This window comes from Homo sapiens, chromosome 5, assembly GCF_000001405.40.
Source record: "Homo sapiens chromosome 5, GRCh38.p14 Primary Assembly".
Lineage (NCBI taxonomy): Eukaryota > Metazoa > Chordata > Mammalia > Primates > Hominidae > Homo > Homo sapiens.
Genome location: NC_000005.10, coordinates 17,821,985 through 17,849,899, shown reverse-complemented (window position 1 = coordinate 17,849,899; position 27,915 = coordinate 17,821,985). Strand labels below are relative to the sequence as shown.

Sequence of the window (27,915 nt, the reverse complement as noted above, 5' to 3'; positions counted from 1 at the left end):
AATGTAAAAATAAAAATATTTTATAATTTTAAAATGAAAAAGATCTTTATGATAATAATATGAACACAGAAACTATAAAGAGAAAAGATCAATACATTTGGGAACTTAGTCATTTAAATGTTTCATAACAAATAATCCCATAAGCCAAATTATAAAACACTATAAGCAAATTTTAAAGTAATGGAAAAATTTTTTTCAATCCATTTGAAATAGGTTACTATGCAAAATAGCAAAAATGTCTGCAAATTAATACTAAAATAGACCTATCTTTGTAAATAAAAAAGAATAAAAATAAATAATTTACAAATTTTACAAACAAACATGAAAAGACTTGCAAAAAGCAATTCACAGAATTGACCAATAAACAATTAATAAGATCTTGAATCTTAATAATCAAATAAATACAAATCAGAACAATGATTTTTTTATGCATCAGATTGGCAAAGATTAAAATACTTAATACTCATTTGAATGAGGAAGATACCGGGCATTCTCAACCATTTAAGGAGGGTCCAATGGTACAATATATTTTGCAATACCTATCTTGCCTTCCCTTTGAACTAACAATTCCACTTTTAGTGATTACACACAAATTTACCCAAAGTTATTATGCAGGTAGAATAATCATCACAGTAGTGTGTGTAATTACAAGAAGAAAAGAAGGAAAGACAGAAAGAAAAAGGAAGAGAAAGAAAGAAAAAGGAAGGAAGGAAGAAGAGGAAAGAAGGGGAGGGAGGGAAGGAAGGAAGGAAGGAAGGAAGGAAGGAAGGAAGGAAGGAAGGAAAGAAGGAAGGAAGGAAGGAAGGAAGGAAAAAAAGAAAGAGAAAAGAAAGCTAGCTAGCTTAAGAGACTAGGTACAGAGCAGGGAATATAGAAAAGTTTCTCTAGGTGTAAGTTTGCACATAAGTTGCATAAAAATTGGAAGAATATGTACCAAACTTTTAATCATATTTATCTCTGAAGAGTTGATAAGGGAATCAAAAAGCCTTGACTAAGCATGTTTTTACATGTTAATTTGTTTTCTGGCCATTGTTTTCTGTCCAGGCAATAGTCTACTATAGACCATGTTTTATATACTATCTCTTAGGGTAGGAGAAATTGGTAAATGACGATTATCAAATTCAAAAACGAAAAGCAGTTTAGAACTTCTAAAAATGATGAATTAAAATGACTATCAAAGCTCTTAGGGATCTCTAGGAATAACACTATTTCCCAAAAAAGGCTCTTCTATTTGGTTTCTATCATTTAGAAAATTAGGGGAAATTTTGGGGAAAATAACTTTAATTCATTACGCATCATACTTGCCATTTTTCTGTTTACTTCCTTTTCTCCACTCTAGTGCTCAAAAATGCTTGAGAGGAAAAAGAATCAAAATGCACACTCAACTTTAGCAAAGAGCCGATCCTATTATGTAAAAATTTCATAAAACAAATAAGAACTATATAAGAAAGTTGTGAGATATTTTTCACATGAAGATGGTACAATTGAAGCAAATTGAAATAAGTCCTCCCTGACATTTAAAGATGTCCTGGAACCCAGTTGACAGTCATGCATATTCAATCTATAAGCTTAGAGAGACAATCTTTGTGGAACCAATCTCAGATCAGTAAGAGACAAATCTGGCACATAAATTGTCTCCCTTCCTCTCTCTAGAAGGACTGTCATAAGACCAGCAGATCATGCAGTCTCCCCAGCAATAGTCTTACCAAATTAAACAGTCATTATACTTGATGTCAAGTGATAGCTAACTCAGTAACACACCCCATCATATTCGTTTTCTTTACTTCCTGCCTCACTCTCTTTTCCCTCTCTCTCACATCTCAAAGACTACACTCCCCAGGAAAGTCTTAAAACATAAATATTTGCCTAACACTACTTTCTAGGAAACTATGTTGCCTGGCATGAGTTTTCTCTATTTAAGATGCAAAAACTAAAATTTTGAAAATTAAACTATGATTTCAAAAACATGTAGAATTTCAGTTCTATGACTTGATTATGATGATTTAGCTCTGTGTCCTTAGACAAGTCAATTAGTTTCTCAGAAATCAACTTTCCAATTTGTAAAACTCATTTTCTTCTTAATAGCCATTTATTTCACTTATGCTATGTCCCAGGTGTTTTACTAAACACTAGTGATAAAATGATAAATAATACTAGTCAAGATCCTCAGTATTCCCGATAGACAAGTACATTAGATATTATGGTAAAATGTACTAAATGCAGTGACAGAGTTATTAAAAAAATTATGGGTGCAAGAGAAGGAGCAGCTAACTCATCCTTAGTGCTTTAAAAAGAAGAAAGTCTTCCTGGATGAATCAGTATCTGTAAAGATTCTTAAAGGATATGTAATTTTAGGTAAGAAATCATGTTGGAAAGGACATTCTAGGCAAGAAAATAGCATGGAAAAAACACCCTGAAAGAAATCTATTTATGAAATACAAAACAGATTACTGAAGCAAAAAATCATAGAGCCAAAGATGAGTAATGAATGAAGAAAAGTAGACAAGGCTGTGTTTGCACCATTAAGACTTTGGGCTCTGCTGAAAGTGACAGGAAGGCCATAAAGATTTCCCAGTAGAGGCCGGGCGTGGGGGCTCATGCCTGTAATCCTAGCACTTTGGGAGGCCGAGGCGGGCAGATTGCCTGAGGTCAGGAGTTTGAGACCAATCTGGCCAACATGGTGAAACCCCGTCTCTACTAAAGATACAAAAAAAAATTAGCCAGGTGTGGTGGCATATGCCTGTAATCCCAGCTACTTGGGAGGCCAAGGCAGGGGAACTGCTTGAACCAGGGAGGTGAAGGTTGCAGTGAGCCAAGATTGCGCTACCGCACTCCAGTCTGGACGACAGAGTGAGACTCCATCTCAAAAAAAAAAAAAAAAAAAAAAATTTCTCAGTAGAATGGCATAGTTGCACAAACTGTTCTCAATAGTTTTCTCTCCCTCGAATTCTGTGATTCTATAACCCTATATTTTGTAATAAAAAAAGAGGTTAAAAGTGGCATTTTGTTGAAGTTATATAGATTCTATGGTAGTGTGCTAGTAACAATATTTAAATAAAAGTTATTAATCATTTGATAACACAAGATCAATTCCATATGCATGATTTCATCAGACCACATCTGGAATGCTTTTATTATTTATAGGAAATATATTTTAGAAAAAATATTTTGAATCTGACAATATCCAAAAAGTATCAAAGATTATGAAAGATTCAGAAAACCATTTCTCGGGAAAAAAAAAAAAAAGCACTTTCTGTCTTCAAATTTCAAACAGCTGTCATGTGAAAAAAAAAAAAGAAAGAAAGAAACAGACCTATGCGATGTAGCTGAAGCCTACAGATTTAAGATGTAACTGTAATCTGTGAAAAAGTTATAGGAAGCAAAATTCCAGCTTAATATATAAAAACAGAACATGACATAATTTAAGTTTTTCAAGAAAACATCAATCATTTTTGACCATAAAACTTCAAACAGAGCTTAGAAACAATCTGTTTTTTTAAAAATGGGTGCTGGTCCTTGGACATGAAATAATAACTTACCCTCCCACCATTTAAAAAAATGCTAAAAAACTGAAAAAAAATATTTAAAAGTTGAGTTTAGACATTGGGCATTAGACAGTAGAATACTGTAATATCTGAGAGAGGAGAGAAAAAATGAGACCTTGGTCACTTTAGATTTCTACCCGGTACATTTTCTAGACCATGGAGTAGGGGGAAGAAAGCCAAGCAGAACACCATCGCCTCACTGGTTTGAAAAGACAGATGGAGTTTAGAAAGGCTGAGATACCTGGAGTTTTCAAGACAGAGCACAGAAAAAGGATGCTACTAAGAAAAGGAGTTCCAAAAATACACATAGGCATTCCTTTAAATATGTTGCTGAATACTAAGATACATACGCATAGGGTGAAACTTTATGAGGCAAAGAGTTAGAAAGCTGAATAATTTCCAGGACTCACATTGGTCTGGGAAATGTTTGAGTTTCAACTAGGAAGAATAGAGACACTTTGTGGAACATCCTAACCATTGTGTACAGCATAATTATAGACATATACCAGCCCCTATATTAAAGCTTGTTTAAGGGTAAAGGCTAATTTAGGTCCACTCTAATAAAGTTTATACGTAAGTTACAAAAGGATCAAACTTACCCACAATAACTTAATTGTCCACCAAAACAAAATCCAACACTCTTTAAAAGAAAATACAAAATCCAAGTATTCAACAACATACTATTATAATGCCCTGCTTCCCATAAAAAGTGCTATATATTACAAGAAGTAGAAAGATGTGACACATAAACATAAGAAAAATCAATAAATAGAAACATTCAGAAATGGAAGGGAAGATGAAATTAGTAGACAATAACTTTGAAAGAGCTTTTATAAATTTCCTGAAATATTTAAAGGAAAACCTGATGTTAATGAGGAGGAATAGAAGATAAAAATAGAACAAATCAAAATTTGACCTCTAGGTACTGGAAAACCTGAGGTGACTAGTGACTGGACTGGGACCCCAACATATCACAGCAGCCCGACAGAAAACTGGCCAGACGGCTACGGGGGTGTCCATTATCTTCTCACCAGGCAGGTCCTTCAGACCTGGGCCTCCAGCCAGCCCCTCACCAGAGCTATCAAGCCAGCACCAACTCAGCAACTCCCTGGACAGAGCCTCCAGAGGCAACTGAAAGCCTCTCTGCCACTGCCTATCCAGTGGATCTACCCTTACTACTCTCAGACTAATGAAGGAGCAAAGACCCTAAATGCATTATCTACACCTCCAACAAGCTTCAGTAGACCCAAGGAAAGGAGGTCACTCCATTTTTTATGGGTCTCACACAACTCCCACTGCCTGTCACCATATAGGGAACCCCTGGCTTGGGCCCACAGCTCAGACTTTCCATCCTGGGCTGACTGCACTGAGCAATTACTGATCTACATCTCTCTGGGGTGGAGCCCCCAGGAGACAAGCAAAACACACTTGGCCACAAGCACTTACTAAGGTCCCTTCCTCTGCTGCCTCTAAGATGGGGAAGGAATATAAACCCTGAGATTGCCTGAGAGCTGCAGTGGACAGCCCAGGATTGCCAAGTCACAATTTATGCCAGCACTCTAGTGGGAGAGGAATTCACACTTTCAGAGCATTGAGAGGGAACACAACAGCCACTGTGAGGGAAGACAAGGGAGCTACACAACTGAGCAACAGTCTACCAACTGACCAATAATCCTAAGTACCACCTACTGAATCACACCCTAAACCTTCAACACCAAAATGCTTCACTAATATACCCACCTCTGATACCAGAGACAAGAAGTCAGCTTCAAATAAAAACCGTGCATAAAGCCTCAGCCTAGTGAACATATCAAAAAAAGAAGTCTATTGACTGTACTCCATCTACACTGCAGTTAAAGGAACACCTACAAACAGAGATGAGTAAGATCCAATGCAAGAACTCCAGTAACTCAAATGGCCAGAATGCTGTATGTCCTCCAAAAGACCACACCAGTCCTCCAACAAGAGTTTGTAACCAGACTGTACTGGCTGGAATGACAGAAATAGAATTGAGACTATGGATAGAAACAAAATCATCAAGATTCAGGAGGATGGCAAAACCCAATCCAAGGAAAATAAGAATCACAATAATACAATACAAGAACTGAAGGATAAAATAGCTGGTGTGTATATGTGTGTGTGTATATATATATATACACACATATATCTATATGACATATGAAATATATGTATTTTATATATTTATATATTTTTGTATATATTATATATAATATATGAAATTGAATATATAAATATATTTATATATATACATACATATATATATATACATACATATATATATATATATGAATACTGAATGGGTCTGTCAGAGCTGAGTAACACCATACAAGAATTTCAGAATGCAATTAGCCGTATTAAGAGAAGAATAAGCCAAGCTGAGGAAAGAATCTCAGAACTTAAAAGACTAATTCTCTGAAATAAGACAGACAAAAATAAAGAAAAAAGAATAAAAAGAAATGAACAAAACCTCCAAGAAGTATGGGATTATGTGACGAGATCAAATCTACGAATTATTGGCATCCCTGAAAGGGAGGAGGAGAAAGCAAACAACTTGGAAAACATATTTCAGGATCTCATCCATGAAAACTTCCTCAACCTTTTTAGAGAGACCAACAGTCAAATTCAGGAAACAAATGGAATTCTTGGAAAATTCTGTGCAAGAAGATAAACCCCAAGAACATAATCATCAGATTTTCCAAGGTTGAAATGAAAGAAAGAATGTTAAAGGCAGCTAGAGAAAAAGGGTGGGTTACCTACAAAGAGAATATCATCAGACTAACAGTGGACCTCTTAGCTGAAACCCTACAAACAAGAAGAGATTGGGGGCCTATATTCAACACTCAAAGAAAAAATTTTTCAACCAAAAATTTCATATCCAGCCAAACTAAGTTTTCTAAGCAAAGAAGAAATGAGATACTTTTAAGATAAGCAAATTGATATGGTTTGGCTCTATGTACCCACCCAAGTCTCACCTTGAATTGTAATCCCCATAATCCCTATGTGTCAAGGGCAGGACCAGGTGGAGATAATTGGATCATGGGGGCAGTTTCTCTTATGCTGATTTCATGATAATGGGTGAGTCTTACAAGATCTAGTGGTTTGATAAGTGTCTGGCATTTCCTCTGCTTGTACTCACTCCATCCTGCCACCCTGTGAAGAAGGCGCCTGCTTCTCCTTCACCTTCTGCCATGATTGTAAGTTTCCTGAGGCCTCCCCAGCAATGCAGAATTGTGAGTTAATTAAATCTCTTTTCTTTATAAATTACCCAGTCTCAGGTATTTATTCCTAGCAGTGTGAGAATCCATTAATACAGTAAATTGGTAGCAGGAGTTGGGTGCTACTATAAAGATTCCTGAAAATATGGAAGCAACTTTGGAACTGGGTAACAGGCAGAGGTTGGAACAGTTTGGAGGGCTAAAGAAGACAGGAATGTGAGAAAGTTTGGAACTTCCTAGAGACTTGCTGAATGGCTCTGATCAAAATGCTGATAGCGATATGGATAATGAAGTCCAGGCTGAGGTGGTCTCTGATGGAAATGAGGAACTTCTTGGGAATTGGAGTAAAGGTGATTCTTGCTATGCAAAAAGAAAAACTGGCAGCATTTTACCTCCACCCTAGAGATCTGTGAAACTTTGAACTTCAGAGAGATGATTTAGGGTATCTGGCAGAAGAAATTACTAAGCAGTAAAGTGTTCAAAAGAAAGCAGAGCATAAAAGTTTGAAAAATTTGCAGACTGACAATGCGATAGAGAATAAAAACACATTTTCTGGGGAGATATTCTATCAAATCCACATATATCAATAAAAACCTTGAATGTAAACAGGCTAAATGCCCCCACTTAAAACACACAGAGTGGCAAGGTATATAAAAAACTAGGGCCTAATGGTATCCTGTCTCCAAGAGACTCATCGCACATGAAATGACACACATAGGCTCAAAATAAGGGGGTGGGGGAAAATCTACCAAGCCAATTAAAAACAGAAAAAAGCAGGGTTGCAATGCTCATATTAGATGAAACAGACTTTAAACCAACAAAGATCAAAAAAGACAAAGAAGGGCATTACATAATGGTAAAGGGTTCAATTCAACAAGAAGACCTAACTGTCCTAAATGTATATGCACCTAACACTGAAGCACCTAGATCCTTAACCAAGTTCTTAGAGACCTACAAAGAGATATAGACTCCCACTCAATAACAGTAAGAGACTTCAACACTCCACTTACAGTATTGGACAGATCAATGAGGCAGAAAATTAACAAAGATATTCAGGACCTGAACTCAACATTGCACCTAATGGATACAATAGACATCTACAGAACTCTCTTATTCAAAAACAGAATATACCTTCTTCTCATTGCCATATGGCACATACTCTAAAGTTGACCATGTGATTGGATATAAAACAATCCTCAGTAAAGGCAAAAGAATGGAAATCACACCAAACATACTTTCAGACCAAAGTGCAATATAAATAGAAGTCAAGACTAAGAAAATTGTTCAAATCAATTCAAATACATGAAAATTAAACAACATTCTCCTGAATGGCTTTTGGGTAAATAATGAAATTAAGGCAGAAATCAAGAAGTTCTTTGAAACTAATGAGAACAAAGATACAACAAACCAGAATCTCTGGACACAGCTAAGGCAGTATTAAGAGAGAAATTCATAGCACTAAACACCCTATTGAAAATTTAGAACAATCTCAAATTAACAACCTAACATTACAACTGAAAGACTTAGAGAAGCAAGAACAAATCAACCTCAAAGCTAGCAGAAGACAAGAAATAACCAAAATCAGAGCTGAACTGAAAGAAATCATGACATGAAAAAACATTGAAAAGATCAGTGAATTCAGGAATTGGTTTTTTGAAAAGATTAATAAGATAGGTCACTAGCTAGACTAATAAAGAAGAAAAGAGAAAAGATCCAAATAAACAGTTACCAACTATATATTGTCTGTAAGCAAATACATGCTATCTGTATATCACTTTTAAATTTTTTTATTGATACACAATAAATGTACATATTTTCAGGATGCACATGACAATTTAATACATTTACATAATTTGTAAAAATTAAGTCAATGTAATTGGGATACCCACCACCTTAAATATTTTCTTTTCTTTATGCTGGAAACATTTTTTCTTTTTTCTTTTTTCTTTTTTTTTTTTTTAATTTTTTTTTTTTATTATACTTTAAGTTTTAGGGTACATGTGCACATTGTGCAGGTTAGTTACATATGTATACATGTGCCATGCTGGTGCGCTGCACCCACTAACTCGTCATCTAGCATTAGGTATATCTCCCAATGCTATCCCTCCCCCCTCCCCCGACCCCACCACAGTCCCCAGAGTGTGATATTCCCCTTCCTGTGTCCATGTGATCTCATTGTTCAATTCCCACCTATGAGTGAGAATATGCGGTGTTTGGTTTTTTGTTCTTGCGATAGTTTACTGAGAATGATGGTTTCCAATTTCATCCATGTCCCTACAAAGGACATGAACTCATCATTTTTTATGGCTGCATAGTATTCCATGGTGTATATGTGCCACATTTTCTTAATCCAGTCTATCATTGTTGGACATTTGGGTTGGTTCCAAGTCTTTGCTATTGTGAATAATGCCGCAATAAACATACGTGTGCATGTGTCTTTATAGCAGCATGATTTATAGTCCTTTGGGTATATACCCAGTAATGGGATGGCTGGGTCAAATGGTATTTCTAGTTCTAGATCCCTGAGGAATCGCCACACTGACTTCCACAATGGTTGAACTAGTTGACAGTCCCACCAACAGTGTAAAAGTGTTCCTATTTCTCCACATCCTCTCCAGCACCTGTTGTTTCCTGACTTTTTAATGATTTATGCTGGAAACATTCTAATTATTCTCCTCTAGCTATTTTGAAATACAATTGATTATTGTATAGTCACCCTACTGCTCTATTGAACACTAGATCTTATTTCTTCTATGAAAATCTATTATTTGTACCCATTAATCAATTTCTCTTTCCACTTATTTATAAAGTGGCCAAGAGTTTAAATGCCAAAGAATGGAAAAACTTATATCATTCAATCATCAATTATAAGAAAGTTGAAATGTCTATAGTAATATTTGAGAAAGTAAACCTCATAAGAAGAAACATTACCAAAAGAAAAAAGGGACAGCCACAATACAAAAAAAGTTCAATTCATCAAAGAGACATAATAATCCCAAGTATGTATTCATTTAATAACAGAGCTGCTCAAGTAGTGAAGCAAAACAGACAAACTTCAAAGAAAAGTAGAGACTTTCCAATTACATTTAGAGATTTCAACATTCTTCTTCCAGTAATTTCAAGTAAACATAAAATCAGCAAGTATGCAGAACATTTGAACACTACTGACACACTTGATGTAATTCATATTTTTAAATACCACATTCCTTTACTGCCTAATACAGTCTGTTCAAATGCATATGAAAATGTCACAGTTATACCATTTTCTGGGTCATAATACAATTCCCAATGAATTTTAAAGTATTGACACTTTACAGAGTATGTTCTTTGACTATAATAAAACTAAATTGAAATAAAACACAACAATATGAGGGAAAAAGCAATGTCTGGAAAACTGGCAAGTATTTGGAAATTAATCATCACACTTCTAAATACTCCATGAGTCAAAGAAGAAAACCCAAATCATTTTAACTGAAGGAAAATAAAATTAAATTATCAGAATTTTGAAATTGGAGATAAAAGAGTGAGTAAAGAAAAATACATAGCTGTAAATACTTACATTAGAAAAGGGCTAAATCAATGGTCTAAGTTTTATTTTAAGAAACAAGCAAGCAAGTTAAATCCAAAGTATATAGAAGAAAGAATATAATAAAAATCTGTGCAGAAACTGGTAACATAAAAATCTGGCAAACAGGAAAATAAATAAAAAATCTAAAAGCTGCTAATTTGAAAATGTAGATGAATTGATTAATTTCTAGCTGTAATGGTCAAGTAAAAATGAGAGGAAGCAAATTAACAGTTTTAAGAATAAATGAGGGAGTACTACTATAGATCCTACAGACATTAAAAAAATCCTAAGGGAATATTATTTTAATTCAAAGTTTTAACTAAAATAAACAAATATATGAAATGTAAAAACAGACAGGAGAATTTAGAAACTGTGAAATGCTCTATAATCATTAAATGATTCAAACTTTAATTTAGAACCTGCTCACAAAGAAAGGTACAGGTTAAGATAGCTTCATTGGTGAAATCTGTTGAACATTTCTGGAAGAAGTAACACAAAATAATACAAATCTTTTTATAAAATTTAACAGGACAGAACACTTTTTAGCTCATTTTATACGGCCAGTATTACCTTGATAATAAATGAGAAGAAAACTACAAGAAACCTACCAACAAATATCTTTCATGGACATTGTATTAGTTTTTTGTTGTGGCTGTTACTGGAACAAACTTCCACAAACGTAGTAGCTTAACACAGATTTATTATCGTATAGGTCTGTAGGTCAGAAATCTGACACACTGGAATAAAATCAAGGATTGGCAAGGCTGCATTCCTTTCTTGGTGCTCTGGTACAGTATCCGTTTCCTTGCCTTTTCCTGTCTCTAGAGGCCACTCACATGTATTGGTTTATAGCTGTTTTCCTCCATCTTTAAAGCCAGCAACACCACGTTCCTCTGACCTTGCTTCTGTTGACACATCTCCCTGACCACCACTAGGAAAGCTTATCTGCTTTTAAAGACTCTTGTCATTAGATTGGCCTCACTCTGATAATGCAGAATAATCCCCAGCTAATGGTTTTTAACTTGAAACACATCTTTGAAGTTCCTTTTTCCATGTGATGTAGCAAAGTCACAGATAAAGTGGATTAGGATGTGGACATATTTGGGGGAGCCATTTTTCTGACTACCAAAAACATGGTATTAAGAAGTAATATTCTTACTATTAAGAAGAATATTACTAATAAGAAAATTAATAATATTTTTATTATTGAGAAGCAATATTCTTAATACAATATTTAGAAGCCACATTCAACAACATCAAGAAAATGAAACCTGAAAAAGTGAAATTTGTTTATCCCAGGAATGCAAAGTTGATGTGTAATTCACGCTATTAACATAAGAACATGGGAATTTTATATAATCATCTCAGTAGATATAGAACAAACATTTCAAAAAATTTGAAACCTCTTTTGATTAAAAAAATTATATCAAAATATTGATTAAAGGAAATGTTCTCAACTTAATAAAAAGTATCTCTAAAAATCCCACAGCTAACATAATGTTTAATGATAAAAAACTGAAAACTTTTTCTCTAAGAATGGAAGCAAAGCAAATTTCTTGCTTTCATCACTTTTGGCCAAGAGCCAAATCATAAATGAACTCCAATTCACAATTGCCACAAAGAGAATAAAATACCTAGGAACACAGCTAACAAGGGAAGTGAAGAACCTCTTCAAGGAGAACTACAGACCACTGCTCAAGGAAATCAGAGAGGACACAAACAAATCGAAAAACATTCCATGTTCACGCATCAGAAGAATCAATATCATGAAAATGGCCATACTGCCCAAAGCAATTTATAGCTTCAATGCTATTCCCATTAAACTAATATTGACATTTTTCACAGAATTAGAAGAAACCATTTTAAAATTTATATGAAACCAAAAAAAGAGCCTGAATAGCCAAGACAATCCTAAACAAAAAGAACAAAGCTGGAGGCATCATGCTACCTGACTTTAAGCTATACTACAAGGCTACAGTAACCAAAACAGTATGGTACTGGTACAAAAACAGATGCATAGATTAATGGAACAGAATGGAGAACTCAGAAATAAGACCACATACCTACAAGCATCTGATCTTCAAGAAACCTGCCATAAACAAACAATGGAGACAGGATTCCATATTTAATAAATGGTGCTGGGAGAACTGGCTAGCCATACACAGAAAATTGAAACTGGACCCCTCCCTTACACCTTACATACAAAAATTCACTCAAGATAAATTAAAGACTTAAATGTAAAACCCAAAACTATAAAAACCCTAGAAGAAAATCTAGGTAATGCTATTCAGGACATAGGCACTGGAAAAGATTTCATGACAAAGATGCCAAAAGCAATTGTAACAAAAACGAAAATTGACAAATGGGATCTAATTAAACTAAAGAGCTTCTGCACAGCAAAACAAACTATCATCGGTTTGAAAAGACAACCTACAGAATGGAAGAAAATTTTTGCAATGTATCTATCTGACAAAGGTCTAATATGCAGAGTCTACAAGGAACTTAAATTTACAAGAAAAGAAAAAACATTAAAAAGTAGGCAAAGAACATGAACAGACACTTCTCAAAAGAAGACATTCATGTGGAAAACAAATATATGAAGAAGAGCTCAACATCACTGATCATTAGAGAAATGCAAATGAAAACCACAATGAGATACCATCTCATACCTGTCAGAATGGTGATTACTAAAAAGTCCAGAAAGAACAGATGCTGGCAAGGTTGTGGATAGAAAAGAACACTTTTATACTGTTGGTCAGGACGTACATTAGTTCAACCACTGAGGAAGACAGTGTAGCAATTCCTCAAAGATCTAGAGGCAGAAATACCATTTGACCTAACAATTCTGTTACTGAGTATATACCCAAAGAAATATAAATTATTCTATTATAAAGATACTTGCACCCATATGTTCATTGCGGAAGTATTCACAATAGCAAAGACATAAAATCAACCCAAATGCCCATCGGTGATAGACTAGATAAAGAAAATGTGGTACATCTACACCATGGAATACTATGCAACCATAAAAAGGAACAAGATTATGTTCTTTGCAGGGACACGAATGGAACTGGAAACTATTACCCTCAACAAACACAAGAACAGAAAATCAAACACTGCATGTTCTCACTTAGAAGTGGGAGCTGAACGATGAGAATGCATGGACACATGGTGGGCAACAACACACAGTGGGACCTCTCACAGGTAGGGATAGGGAGAGCATCAGGAAGAATAGCTAATAGATGCTGGTCTTAATTCATGGGTGATGGGTTGATCTGTGCAGCAAACCACCATGGCACATGTTTAGCTACGTAGCAAACCTGCACATCCTGCACATGTATGCTGAAACTTCAAATAAAAGTTAAAGAAAAAAAACAGAATACTCATTCACACAAAACATGGATGAATCTCAACAATGTGCTGATTAGAAGCCAGAACACAAGAGCATTTACATTATGATTACATTTATATACAATCATAGAAAAGGAAAACTAATATATTGTGACAGAAAGTACATTGGCAGTTACCTGGAGCTGTGGATGACACAAAGGAATTTTCTGTGATGATGGAAATATATATCTTGATTACAGTCATGGTTACAGGGGTGTCTACACTTGTCAAAATGCACCAATCTATATTCTTAGAATGGGATATTTTATTGGTTGTAAACAATAGCCCAATAAATTTAATTTAAAAAAATGTTTCTTGGCCGGGCATGGTGGCTCACACCTGTAATCCCGGCACTTTGGGAGGCCGAGGCGGACAGATCATTTGAGGTCAGGAGTTCAAGACCAGCCTGGCCAACTTGGCAAAACCCCTTCTCTACTAAAAATACAAGTGAGCCAGGCACAGTGGCGGGCTCCTGTAATCCCTGCTATTCGGGAGGCTGAGGCAGAAGAATCACTTGAACCCCGGGAGGCAGAGGTTGCAGTGAGCCGAGATCACACCTCTGCACTCCAGCCTGGGCAACAAGAGCAAAACTCTATCTTTAAAAAAAAAAAAAAGTTTCTTCCACCCCAAAATCGATCTTTTAGGATATTTTGGAAGAGGATACCTAAATTGAATGGACAATTCAAATAAATATTCTGTACCCTAGATGATCCCTTCTATGTGCCTATGTGTGTCATCTTCATTCTCTGCTTGATTAAAATGCTTAAAAGAATCAAGCAGTAGATATCTTTACAGATGTGAGTTTATATTATAAATTTTATAAAAAGTGACTGTCAGTAATAGTAGATCCAGTTTTAACAATTTATCTTATGTATTTTAAATATTTGGTAAAATTTAAATACCACTTAAATTACTATAATTTTGCCTCATACAAATTTTTTTGCAAGTATATAGTTAAGTGTGTGCCTGTGTGTGTGCACTTTGACAAATGCAGACATCGGTGCAACCACCACTACAATCCTACAATCAAGATAGGTATTTCCGTTATCACAAAAAATTCTTTCATGTCACTGACAATTCCAAATAACATTTAAAAGTAATGGCAAAAACCGCAATTACTTTTGCACCAACTTTAATATATATAGAGATATATATATAGATAGATAGATAGATATAGATACACACACATATAACTCTTGAGAGAATGGAAACACTACATTTTTTTTCCAAACATATACTCTTTCCTGGTAGTTTTAGAATAAATGTATTTCTGTTCATTTAGTTCTCTTTTTAAATATTTTGCTTGGAAACTTGTATTTGACCAATATCCACAAATGATTTGTGTTATTGAAAAGCAAAGAAGGGAGAACAGGAAAGTCTAAGTCAACATTCTGTGTGACTATCCATGGGAAACACAATACTGCTAAGAATTAAATAATCTTGTATTTCAAATCTCCAAATTCCTTTAACAATGATAAATGAGAGACACCAAAAGGTTTTAGAAATTCTACCTAAGTGAGCTTTAATCATGTTAACTGAAATTTTCTTTACACTTAGAATTCTTTTTCACCTCTCAGTGAGGTTTTTGGTTTTGTTTTGTGTAGGGATGGGGAGGCAAGGGGTTGGTCATGATTATCTGACAAACTGCCTTCTAAGAACCTCATTTTGAAAAGGGTCTTACTAAGAAAAAAAAAATCTTACAACTAAATTGCTTTTACACAATGAGTTGAAATATTATTAACCATTTACATGCATAATTAGTATCAAGGCAAACTTTGTTAATAATAGTAAGACATATTCAGAAATTATCCCATCCCTTTAACATTTCAGAATAACTTCAAATATGAATGTATGCCATAAGGAGGGAAGAAATTAATAAATATTGAGTACCTACATAGGTTAAAAGCAAGTCATATAGTATTTTATTATAGTTTATTTATAGAATAAGAAAATTATTTGAACTGTGTTCCACTTATGTTTGTGTAATACGCTTGAAAATTTCTTATAGAAAAGATGGAGAAACATGCTATGAATGGCAATACAATTTTGCAGATATGTTATTGAATTAATGACCCTTCCCAAAGGTGATGATTGATTTAACCTATCTTGTGACATCTCTTTCGTGGTGGCTATGCATTTTGGTCAATAGTTGTAATATAAATATTGCTGTCATACTTATGAAATTCCAAAGTGGCAGGAAGTACAAGGCATAGCTTATACTAATGCTAATATAATGGATGGTAGAAATTCCTGAATTTATCTAATAAAATAAACTTAGAACAGATGTGAATACCTATGCCTAGGTTAATTGCCTGTATAGGACAGGACAGGAAGAATTTTATTACAAATAGTGCATGTGAAAAACTCTTAGTGGATTCAAATTCCACAACGCTTGAATAGGACAGCTGAAGTATTCTTGAATTTTATTTGACTAAATCCAAACTCTTCATTTGGCTTTCTACATGCTCAGTATGAATCAACAGAGTGATAAAACTGCCCAAAATGTTAATGCCTTCCTGAAATGCATTAAGAAAACACTGTACTCAGAATACAAGAACTGACAATGAGTGTAGCTCTGTGTTGTTCAAACAGTCCTGGGAAATGTTTTTCCTCCATGGTGCGTCACTTAAGAGGAACCCTGAAAGGCTGGAATGCATCTGGAAGACAAAGGTCTGCAAAGCACTACATGTATATTAAGGACTGATTATCTGAGAATATTTAGCCTGAAAAAGAACACACTTGGTGTGTCTGTGTGAGTCCCCCAAGAAGCACACAGCCAGATAGGACTGGATGCACAAGAGATTCATTAGAAAAATATCTATGATGTATACAAGGATAAAGGGGGAGAGAGGAGTAACAGATAGGAAGAGTCTTAATGCTGTGGTACAGCTCTGACACCTGTGGAAAGAAGAATTGAAGGATTGTATACGAAGAGCTTCAAATCATAGCAAGGTTCTAAAAAAAACGTCTTGGCCAGACCCATGGAAAGTTGGCAAGCTATAGTTAGCTGTTAGATGAATCTCCCATAGGACAGGAATGGCTTTGTTCTAGAATTGCAGCTGTGTTCAGTCATGGGGTGGAAGCAGCCCAAAGGAAGAATGGCCTGGCTTCCATGACCCTAAGCATCCAAAGGTGCAGCCATTGGAGGCTGTCAATCAAGTACGCTCCCCCAACAGGTCTTTTGAAGTCAAAACTCCATGGCCGCCATACTTGGGAGACATAACAGCTGTTTTTAATTTTACTAAAGAGCTGTAATATGGATAAAGGTTGAGATTTCTTCTACATGACTTCAAAGGACAGAAGTAGAACAAAGAAATGGATGTTTCACTCAGACTGCATCAAAAAATAAAAAATTTCTAATAATTAGAGTTCAAAGATAAAGTGAACAGTTTCACTGTTGGAAAGAGTCAGAAGGTAGACACACCTGTGAGGCCTCTTCTCAACCTTGAAGTCTAATGAGACTAGCAATAAAGGAAGTAAGGATAGAAGGAACTCAAGAAATATAGTTTACTGAAATGATTATAAGAAGACTGGATTAAGAAGCTTTTATTTTTTCTTCTGTAATAATGCTACATTTTGTGTCTCAGTAGGGAAGAGTAAGGTTATACTAAAACTCCTTTCATTAACGTGAACTGATTTTTGCCCTCTACGGAGTTAGAATCAGAGAAGTACAAATTGGACTTAAATCATAACCCTTGTGAATTGTCCTGGAAAAACATCAACAATGATTTTCTTCTCTTTAATTATTAAAAACAAAAATCTCCTTTATTTTCCTTCTCAGCACGGTATGTGTCCTGGTAAAAGAGTATTTCTAGATTTGTAACCTGATAGCTTCTGCTTCCCTTTGGGATAAAAACTGTTTTGGTTACTGTAGCCTTGCAGTATAGTTTGAAGTCAGGTAGTGTGATGCCTCCAGCTTTGTTCTTTTTGCTTAGGATTGTCTTGGCTGTACAGGCTCTTTTTTGGTTCCATGTGAAATTTAAAGTAGTTTTTTTTCTAATTCTGTGGAGACAGTCAATGGTAGCTTGATGGGAATAGCATTGAATCTATAAATTACTTTGGGCAGTATGGCCATTTTCATGATATTGAGTCTTCCTATCCATGAGCATGGAATGTTTTCTCATTTGTTTGTGTCCTCTCTTATTTCCTTGAACAGTGGTTTGAAGAATGAGATCATGTCCTTTGCAGGGACATGGATGAAGCTGGAAGCCATCGTTCTCAGAAAACTAACACGGGAACAGAAAACCAAACATTTAATGTTCTCACTCATAAGTGAGAGTTGAACAAAGAACATATGGACACAGGGAGGGGAACAACACACACCAGGACCTGTCAGGGGGTCTGGAGCAAGGGGAGGGAGAGCATTAGGACAAATACCTAATGCATTCAGGGCTTAAAACTTAGATGACAGGTTGATAAGTGCGGCAAACCACCATGGCACATGTATACCTATGTAACAAACCTGCACATTCTGCATATGTATCCTGGAACTTAAAGTAAAATTTAAAAAAATAAAATTAAAAAAGCTTTTGCACTCCATTTATTCTCAGGCCAGTGAAAGGGTTAAGTAAGCTACAGTGGAATCCTGAATTTGAGTATTGAAAATCTGGCAACCAGCCCAGGGGCCCCTTCCAAAAAGAAGCAGCTACCCTGAGCCCTTACAAAGGAGGTGGTTGCCCCAGCAACAGTATCTGATAAAAGAAAATATGGCCGCCAGGTACACATACAGATTGCAGGAGAGAGAGGAAAACTGCTCAGCTGCTGCTGCACTCAGTGTTAAGGAGTCATTTAGCAAATCTGGAGTTTTAGAGCTGAATCTTCTAACTTATAATTGTGGAAATTTTGGGGGTGGTATTTATTTAAGTCATGCCCAATATATTTCAAAATTTGGCACGTTGTAGTGATTGCTGAGCATAAATATGCCTCCCAACTTAAACAAAAGCAACCACCACAAATGACTGTCAAGATACACCAGCTAACTAGAAAGACCACTTTAAAGAAAGATTTGCTCAAAATAAACATCAATTTTTCCCCAAAGTCTTTAATCGGATTCTTCAGTCATGTCTCCGTTTTTTTATCTTTGTGCAGAGGTATGATTCCATATGAAACATTCGAACTGCTCACAGCCTTATTTTATCTAACATAATTATTTGTAATTGACACCCTCGTTCATTTATTTAAAGCCTAAACATTTACCAATCTCCTGTGTGTACTGACTGCCTTTTTTTATCATTGAATATTTTCTGGTAAATATTTTATTGTGGAATCAACTTTAGAGATTTTTGTAAGAGGCTTTAAAGCAGTTATGATCGTTAGTACTGTTTTCTTGACGGCAAAGGATGGGCGCTTACTAGAGGACCACTTTTCCTAAATGCACACTTCAGATTGATCATAATTTGTGAGTATGGTGTTGACTTATTCAATAATACAGCAATGAGAACGTGCGCAAGAGAGGCATAGGCCACTGCTCAGTGAACCAGTTTTTAATACAAATGTTTTCACTCCCCACTTCCACCCCAAATAGACAGTTCCTTTTTTTAGGTATATGACACTAGGAAAAAGACCCATAATCTTCTGGACATCCGGGTCCCAATCCTTATATTTCTATAAGCTTATGAAATGGCCTTCACAGGGCACTTAGCCTCCAGAAGTCTGTTTCCTAGAGACAACATGATAGCCTCTAAGACTTCTCTTGACTGTGCTGTTGCATGAAAATGGGTTATTGCCTTCTGTGAGGAAAAAGCAAAGTTCTGTTTGAACAAATCCATTAGATTTCTATTAGAGATTAATCAAGTTTCATTTACAACTCTTCCTGCATAAAGACCAATACTTTTCCTCAGCAAATTATTAATAAATACTACCAGCTTTAAAACTCTAATGTAAACACTTCATTGTATACACTGAATAAAAGACTCCAGCAGACACTACTCAGAAACTTCAGTGTCTTTTGATCTGTTTCTTGAGCTGGAGTATGAAATCCCTGGGCAAAGCCTAAAAGACACACAGGAAGAGTATATTCATTGCTTTTTAAAATGTGGACTAGCAAAAGACAGAGTAGGGCAGAAATAGACGTTTGTAATTACTCTTGACATGGGGGCAGGCAAGGGTAATTTTAGGGTCTTCCATGACTAACTTGAAGGGCTCTCTAATACAATGTTGCTAAAATTTGAACAGAATCTTTTTAAAGAAAAAAATATTAACTCATATACTCAGTGTTGACTTGTATTACTTTCACTATACTCTTAAATGCTTATAAATATAAAAACAGGTATAAACATCTTATGCTCACAGGACTTGGCTGTAAGAAACAAATCTGCAAATTATAAACCAAACTATTACTCCAATAAAATTAAAATTAATGTTTTTAATTTAATATGATGAATCATCTTGACATGCTGAATCTTAATCTGTTTGAAATTTGAATATCATACTGACTGCCACATCATAGTTTTGAAGGCATTTAGCATGCCTATGCTACTGTGTGCCATCTGGTAACTCAATTCACTTACCACTTTACTCAAACTCACGTGAAACCTTTATTTGCACAGTGCTTCATGATATCATTTGGACTTCACTTCTGGAAAAGAATGGTGTACTTTTTTTTTTTTTTTTTTTTTTCTGAGACAGAGTCTCGGTCTGTCACCCAGGCTGGAGTGCAGTGGCACTATCTCGGCTCACTGCAACCTCTGCCTCCCAGGTTCAAGCGATTCTCCTACCTCAGCCTTCTGAGTAGCTGGGATTACAGGCACAAGCCACCACATCCGGCTAATTTTTTATTTTTATTTTTAGTAGAGACAGGGTTTCATCATGTTGATCAGGCTGGTCTCAAACTCCTGACCTCGTGATCCGCCCGCTTCAGCCCCCCAAAGTGCTGGGATTACAGGCGTAAGCCACCGCACCTGACAAGAATGGTGTACTTTCCTTATCATGTTCTGCTATCTTTTCATTAGCTGATCACCATCAAAGATGTACTATTGCTGTCAATGTGATCTAAACATCAAGCAAATACAGGGGTAGGTTCTAGTCCAGTCACCATGTGATCCAACGTGGTTGTATGATCCAACATCAAGTTTTTCTCTGTGATCATAAAAATCCAAACAGAAAACCAAGAAATTATTGTAGAATATTCACAAAACCCCAACTGGAGAAACAGAAGCCTGTTGCATAATTTTGTCCAAAATAAACATTGTCTGTCTTGGTTTCCAGGGCAAGTGTTGTCATAACCCAGTCTTTTCAGGCATTTGCACTGTTGATTGAATAACCAGGCAGCACCGCCTCTGCTTTCTCCCTTTTCCGCTTTCTACTGAAGGTCTGAGACATGCCAAATTCTCATGTTCACAGCTCCCTGCCAGGTAGGAGTAGTGGCAATATTATTGCTTTTTGGCCAATGAGACATAAGTGAAGGACTGCCTTGGATTTGTTGGGAAAGTATTTTGCTTTCCTGATGAAAATTAGAGGTAGAAAATCATAATTTTCACTCCCTCTTCTCCTTTCTTTCTACTTTGGACATAGGTTTTCCCTTATTTTTCTTTTTCTCTGGAGGTATATCAAACATCTCATAATCATGAGAGGTCAAGACGTTAGGCGTGGCAGGAAAGAAAGGTAACAGGAACTTTATCCTTGGTTGTTTCGAAAAAATTTTTCTACATTTCTTGTTAGGTAAACAGTAAATGTCCATATGGTTTAAGGCACTGTTAATCAGGAGTTCTGTTTTTTACAGCCAGAAGCATTTCTGATACAGAGATATCATCTCCTCTTCCAAATCACCAAAATTTTTGTTAAATGAAAAATCATCATGGAATATTATGATGGAAACTTAGTTGGTACAATATATTCCATTTGCTTCCTGTGATATTTCACATTATACTTAATGTCCTATTTTCCAAATTTCACACTATATTTGCTGTATTTTGTTCCAAAATTAACTATCTGTACTCACATACAATGTCGATACTAACTTGCAATAAGAAAAATGGGTTCGTTTGGCAGAAGTCATTGAAATGGTTTGTAATATTTGGTCCTGTTCCTGAGTACATTTCCACCTCCAACCCACAGGACTCTCCATTTTGTCTTGACATTCCAACCATACAATTGCTTTCTTTGTGTCTTGTTTGTGACATATTTTCTCCTACCTGGGTTTTGCATGTGCTGTGCCCTTGCCTGAGTGCTCCTTCTGACTGGCTCCTCCCCTCATTTCCCCTCTTAATTTCGATTTCCCCTTCAGATCCAACCTAAAGCTTCACTTCCCAAAGATACCTGTGTGGAACCCCCTAGCCTAAACCATGCCTTTGTTATAACTCACAAAGAGTCATGGGCTTTTCCTTCTGAGCACTTTCATCAATATGGAATGACACACTTAATACTCTTCTGCCACACTCTTTGCTTGAAATCTTACCTTTTTGCTTATTAATGCATCTCTGTGCCTAGCCCAGTTTCAGGTGAATGGTAGGTATGTAATACATCTTAGTTTAATAAAGTAAGGAATTAATGAAAACTGGGAATAATTTAATGATATTTCAAAGGAAGTAGGTTCTCAGAACTGAAAACCTCCATCGGTAGCAAAAAATTTTTATTTCAGTGTGTATATATTAGGACTGCTGAGCCTCAGATTAATTATTTGCATACTAATATTCTTGTTCCTTTGATGATCCAGCATCAGTGCCTTGGAAATTCAGCAAGGCATGTAAATTAAATTATGCTTTTTTATATTAATGTACAGAACAGTTCTCTGAGAAGCATAATAAATTTTCTATTACTTACAGATTAAATTTGTCTTTTTCTCGCTGTTCTTTGCTAGAGTTAATCATGTTTACCTTTCCAAAGGTCTTATGCATCGAAAAATAATAATTAAATATCCTACTCTAGATAATTTAAATGCCAAAAGAAGTTTTGTTTTCATTGAAAGCCTGAATCTCATAAAAAGAATACTGCTTTTAAAAATCAGTTACCAATACAAAGAATTCACACTGTAAGTTCTTTCTTAAACGTGACTTTTTTTTGTTTTATCAGTTTGCAGGTTTTAAATGAAAGTCAAATATACCATTGTCTAACTTTTTCTATTTACAGATAATTCTGAGTTCCTTTGCCTAATTACTGGAATGAAAAGAACATTGAAATCACTTGCTCTAATCTCTTCTTAAGGCAGAAATCAGAAAGAATACGAGGTAAACTAGGAAAGTTGAAAAATAAAAAAGCTAAGAGGTAAAACTGAAGACAAAAAGCAGCAAAATTTTTTTTGGTTAGTCCTTTTATTTTAACTTTTATTTTATTTTCGGGGGCACATGTTCAAAGTTGTTATATAGGTAAGCTGTGTGTCATGGGGGTTTGGCATACAGATAATTTCATCACCTGGATAATAAGCACAGTACCTGATAGGTATTTTTATGTGATCCTCTCACTCCTCCCACCCTCAACCTTCAAGTGGGCTCCAGTGTCTGCTGTTCCCCTTCTAGTACCCACATGTCCTTGTTGTTTAGTTCCCACTTATAAATGCAAACGTGGTATTTATTTTTCTGTTCCTGTGTTACTTTGCTTAGGATAATGGCCTCCAGCTCCAACCATGTTGCTGCAAAGGATGTGATCTTGTCTTTTTCACAGCTGCATAGTATTTCATGGTGTACGTAACATTTTCTTTGTCCAGTCTGTCGCTGACGGGCATTTAGGCTGATTCCATGTTTGTGCTATTGTAAATAGTATTGCAATTAATATATGCATCCATGTATCTTTATGGAAGAGCAATTTCTTTTCCTGTGGGTATATACCCAGTAATGAGATTGCTGGGTCTGATGATAATTCTGTTTTAAGTTCTTTGAGAAATTGTCACAGTGCTTTCCACAATGGCTGAACTAATTTACATTACCACCAGCAGTGTAGAAGCATTCCCTTTTCTCCACAGCCTCACCAGCATTGGTTATTTGTTGACTTTTTAGTAATAGCCATTCTGACTGGTATGAAATGGTATCTCATTGTGCTTTAGATATGCATTTCTCTAATGATCAATGATGTTAAGCATTTTTTCATGTTTGTTGGCCGCAGGAATGTCTTCTTTTGGGAAGTGTCTGTTCATGTCCTTTGCCCACTTTTTTTTTTTTGGAGATGGAGTCTTGCTCTGTCTCCTAGGCTGGAGTGCAATGGCATGATCTTGGCTCACTGCAATCTCTGCCTCCCGGGTTCAAGCAATTCTCCTGCCTCAGCCTCCCAAGAATCTGGGACTACAGGCACCTGCCACCATGACCGGCTAATTTTTATATTTTTAGTAGAGAAGGGGTTTCACCACATTGGCCAGGCTCGTCTCGAACTCCTGACCTTGTGATCCGCCTGCCTCAGCCTCCCAAAGTGCTGAGATTACAGGCTTGAGCCACCGTGCCTGGCCCAGCCTTTTGCCCAATTTTTAATGGGATTGTTTCTTTTTAATCTGTAAAATTGTTTCAGTTTCTTATAGGTTCTGGATATTGGGCCTTTGTCAGATGCATAGCTTACAAATATTTTCTCTCATTCTGTAGTTTGTCTGTTTATTCTGCTGATAATCTGTTTCATTTAATTAGATCCCATTTTTCAATTTTTGGTTTTGTTGTTTGCTTTTGGTGTCTTCATCATGAAATCTTTGCCAAGTTCTGTGTCCATAATGATATTTCCTAGGTTATCTTCCAGAGTTTTTATAGTTTTAGGTTTTACATTTAAGTCTTTAATCCATCTTGAGTTGATTTTTATATGTGGTGTAAGGTAGGCGTCTAGTATCAGTCTTCTGCATATGACTAGCAAGTTATTCCAGCACCATTACTTATTGAATGAGGAGTCCTTTCTTCATTGCTTGTTTGTGTCAGCTTTGTCCAAATTCAGATGGTTGGGTGTGGCTTCATTTCTGGGTTGTCTATTCTGTTCCATTGGTCTATGTGTCTGTTTCTGTACCAATACCTTGATGTTTTGGTTACTGTATTCCTATAGTAGAGTTTGAAGTAGAATAGCATTATGCTTTTGGCTTTGTTCTTTTTGCTTAGAATTGCCTCAGCTATTCAGGCTCTTTTTTGGTTCCATAGGAATTTTAAAATAATTTTTTTTCTAATTCTGTGAAGAACGTTCGGTATGGTTAGTCTTTGTCTCCCCACCCAACTCTCATCTTGAATTGTAATTCCCATAATCCCATAATCCCCACATGTCAAGGGTGGGACCAGGTGGAGGCAACTGGATCATGGAGTCAGTTTCCCTCATGCTGTTCTCATGATAATGAATCTGATGGTTCTCATGAGATATGATGGTTTTATAAGGGTCTCATCCCCCTTCACTCAGCATTTTTCCATCCTGCCGCCTTGTGAAGAAGGTGCTTGTTTCTCCTTTGCCTTCTACCATGATTGTAAGTTTCCTGGGGCCTCCCCAGCAATGTGGAACTGTGAGTCAATTAAACCTCTTTCCTTTAAAAATTACCCAGTCTTGGGTATTTCTTCCTAGTGGTGTGAGAACAGACTAATATAATGTCACTGGTAGTTTACTAGGATAGCATTGAATCTGTAATTTGCTTTGGGCAGTATGGCCATTTTAATAATATTGATTCTTCCCAGCCATGAGCATGGAATGTTTTTCTACTTGCTTGTGTCATCTCTGATTTCTTTCAGCAGTGTTTAGTAATTCTTGTTGTAGAGATCTTTCACCTCCCTTGTTAGCTGTATTCCTAGGTATTTTATTCTTTTTGTGGCAATTATGAATTAAACTGTGTTCCTGATTTGCCTATTTGGATGTTGTTGGGGTATAGAAATGCTACAGATTTTTGTATGCAGATTTTGTATTCTGAAACTTTACTGAAGTTGTTTATCAGCCCAAAGAGATTGGGCAGAGACTATGGAGTTTTCTAGATATAGAATCATGTTGTCTGCAAACAGGGATCCCCTGAGTTCTCTTCTTATTTGGATGCCCATTCTTTCTTTCTCTTGCCGATTTCTCTGGCTAAGATTTTCAATATCATGTTGAATAAGAGTGATGAGGGAGGACAACCTTGTCTTATGCCAGTTTTCAAGGGGAATACTTCCAGTTTTTCTCCTTTCAGTATAATGTTGGCTGTGGGTTTATCATAGATGACTCTTATTATTTTTGAAATATGTTCTTTCAGTGCCTAGTTTGTGAAGGGTTTCCAACATCAAGGAATGTTGAATTTTATTGAAAGCCTTTCTGCATCCATTGAGTAATTGTAGTTTTTGTCTTCAGCTCTGTTGATATAATGAATCACATTTATTGATTTGCATATGTTGAACCAACCTCATATTCTGGGGATAAAGCCTACTTGATTGTAGCTGATTAGCTTTTTTATGTGCTGCTGGATTCAGTTTGCTTGTATTTTGTTGAGTATTTTTGTATCTATGTTCATCAAAAATATTGGCCTGAAGTTTTCTTTTTTTGTTGTGTCTCTGCCAGGTTTTGTTATCAGGATGATGCTAGCCTCATAGAATGAGTTGATGAGAAGTCCTTCTTCCTCAGTTTTTTGGAACAGTTTCAGCAGGATTGGTACCAGCTCTTCTTTATACATCTGGTAGAATTTGGCTGCAAATCCATCTGGTCTTGGGCTTTTTCTGGTTGGTGGGCTTTTTGTTACTCATTCAATTTCAGAACTCAATGCTGAGTTCAGGGATTCAATTTCTTCCTGGCTCAGTCTTCAGAGGTTGTATGTGTCCCGGAATTTATCCATTTCTTCTAAATTTTCTAGTTTGTGTGCATAGAGGTGTTCATAATAGTCACCGTTTGTGTACGTGTGTGTAATTCTGTGGGGTCAGTGGTAATGTCTTAATTTTTAAAGATGAGTTTACATTTCCTTCAACATAAAATAATTTTGGGGACACAGTCCAAATAGATTTGAAATATATATCTATTTATATATATATAATATATAATAAATTATATATTATATAAAATATATTTATATAAATATATAAATATATTGATATATAAATATATATCAATTATCATGCCTTATATATAAATATATTTATATATTATATAAATATATAATGATATATAAAAATATATATAAGGCATGATAATTGATGCCAAGAAACAGCATAATCATTTATTTATTTGTTTGTTTATTCTATTTTAGCCTCTATGACTTTAGCATTGACTGAGTTTAGTGCTATTAGACCACATTTTGGGACCATAATGAAAGCTAATAAATCTCTTCGTCATTTCATAATAGACTTCTTGTTTATTTTAGATTTTATTGGTCTTTATTAAAAAAAATAAATTAGCCATGTATTTTTGTTGTAAGAATAATCCATCATTATAACATTGGGAAGATATCCCATATTATTAAAACTACTTAATATCGATAGAGTATTAAATCATCAAATTGTATAACAACAAACTTTTTACCATTAAGAAAATGGAACTGACCCATCAAAATATATAAGCACTAATTCGGATTAAGTCAACAATACATATTGACTTGCAAGAAAGTTGGCTTGCTAGGAAATGTTATCCCTTGAGGTGATATAATGGTGGATGTGAGGGAAAAATGTACCCCCATGGACATGAATGCCATAAGCTTTATTATGCAAAAGCTTAGTGGATTTTGCTGGGCGCGGTGGCTCATGCCTGTAATCCCAGCACTTTGGAAGGCCGAGGCAGGTGGATCCAAGGTCAGGAGTTCAAGACCAGCCTGACCAACATGGTGAAACCCCGTCTCTACTAAAAATACAAAAATTAGCCGGGCATGGTGGCACGTGCCTGTAAACCTAACTACTCAGGAGGCTGAGGCAGGAGAATTGCTTTAACCTGGGAGGTGGAGGTTGCAGCGAGCTGAGATCACGCCACTGCACTCCAGCCTGGGTGACAGAGTGAGATTCCGTCTCAAAAAAAAAAAAAAAAGCTTAGTGTGTTTTAAGATGACTAAATTTGAGATAAAGAGCATAAGAATTATGAACTGGATGACAGGGTAAAAGAATTCATAGCAATTCTAATCAGTTGCAGACCAACCATCACATTGGTGTTCTACTAATTTGATGTAAAGTATATCTCCTACAGTTAAAAAAAAGTTGCCACTTCCATTGTCATTATAGTTTTACTTTTTCTTTTGCAGTTTCTTTATGACATTGTTTTGGGTTGCATGGAAATATTCTATTCATGCAGTTATTGCTAAATTGGCCGAAGAACTCAATGCAGTTAGAAAGCAAACAGCTGAAAGAAAGAGACTGTC

General features: G+C 35.7%; 1 long non-coding RNA gene across 1 annotated transcript in view; it reads right to left on the bottom strand.

The window, feature by feature from the left end:
• LINC02223 (long intergenic non-protein coding RNA 2223) overlaps positions 1–27,915 on the bottom strand; it is a 123,216-nt gene that overhangs the window by 80,590 nt on the left and 14,711 nt on the right. The gene's annotated exons all lie outside the window — the stretch shown is intronic.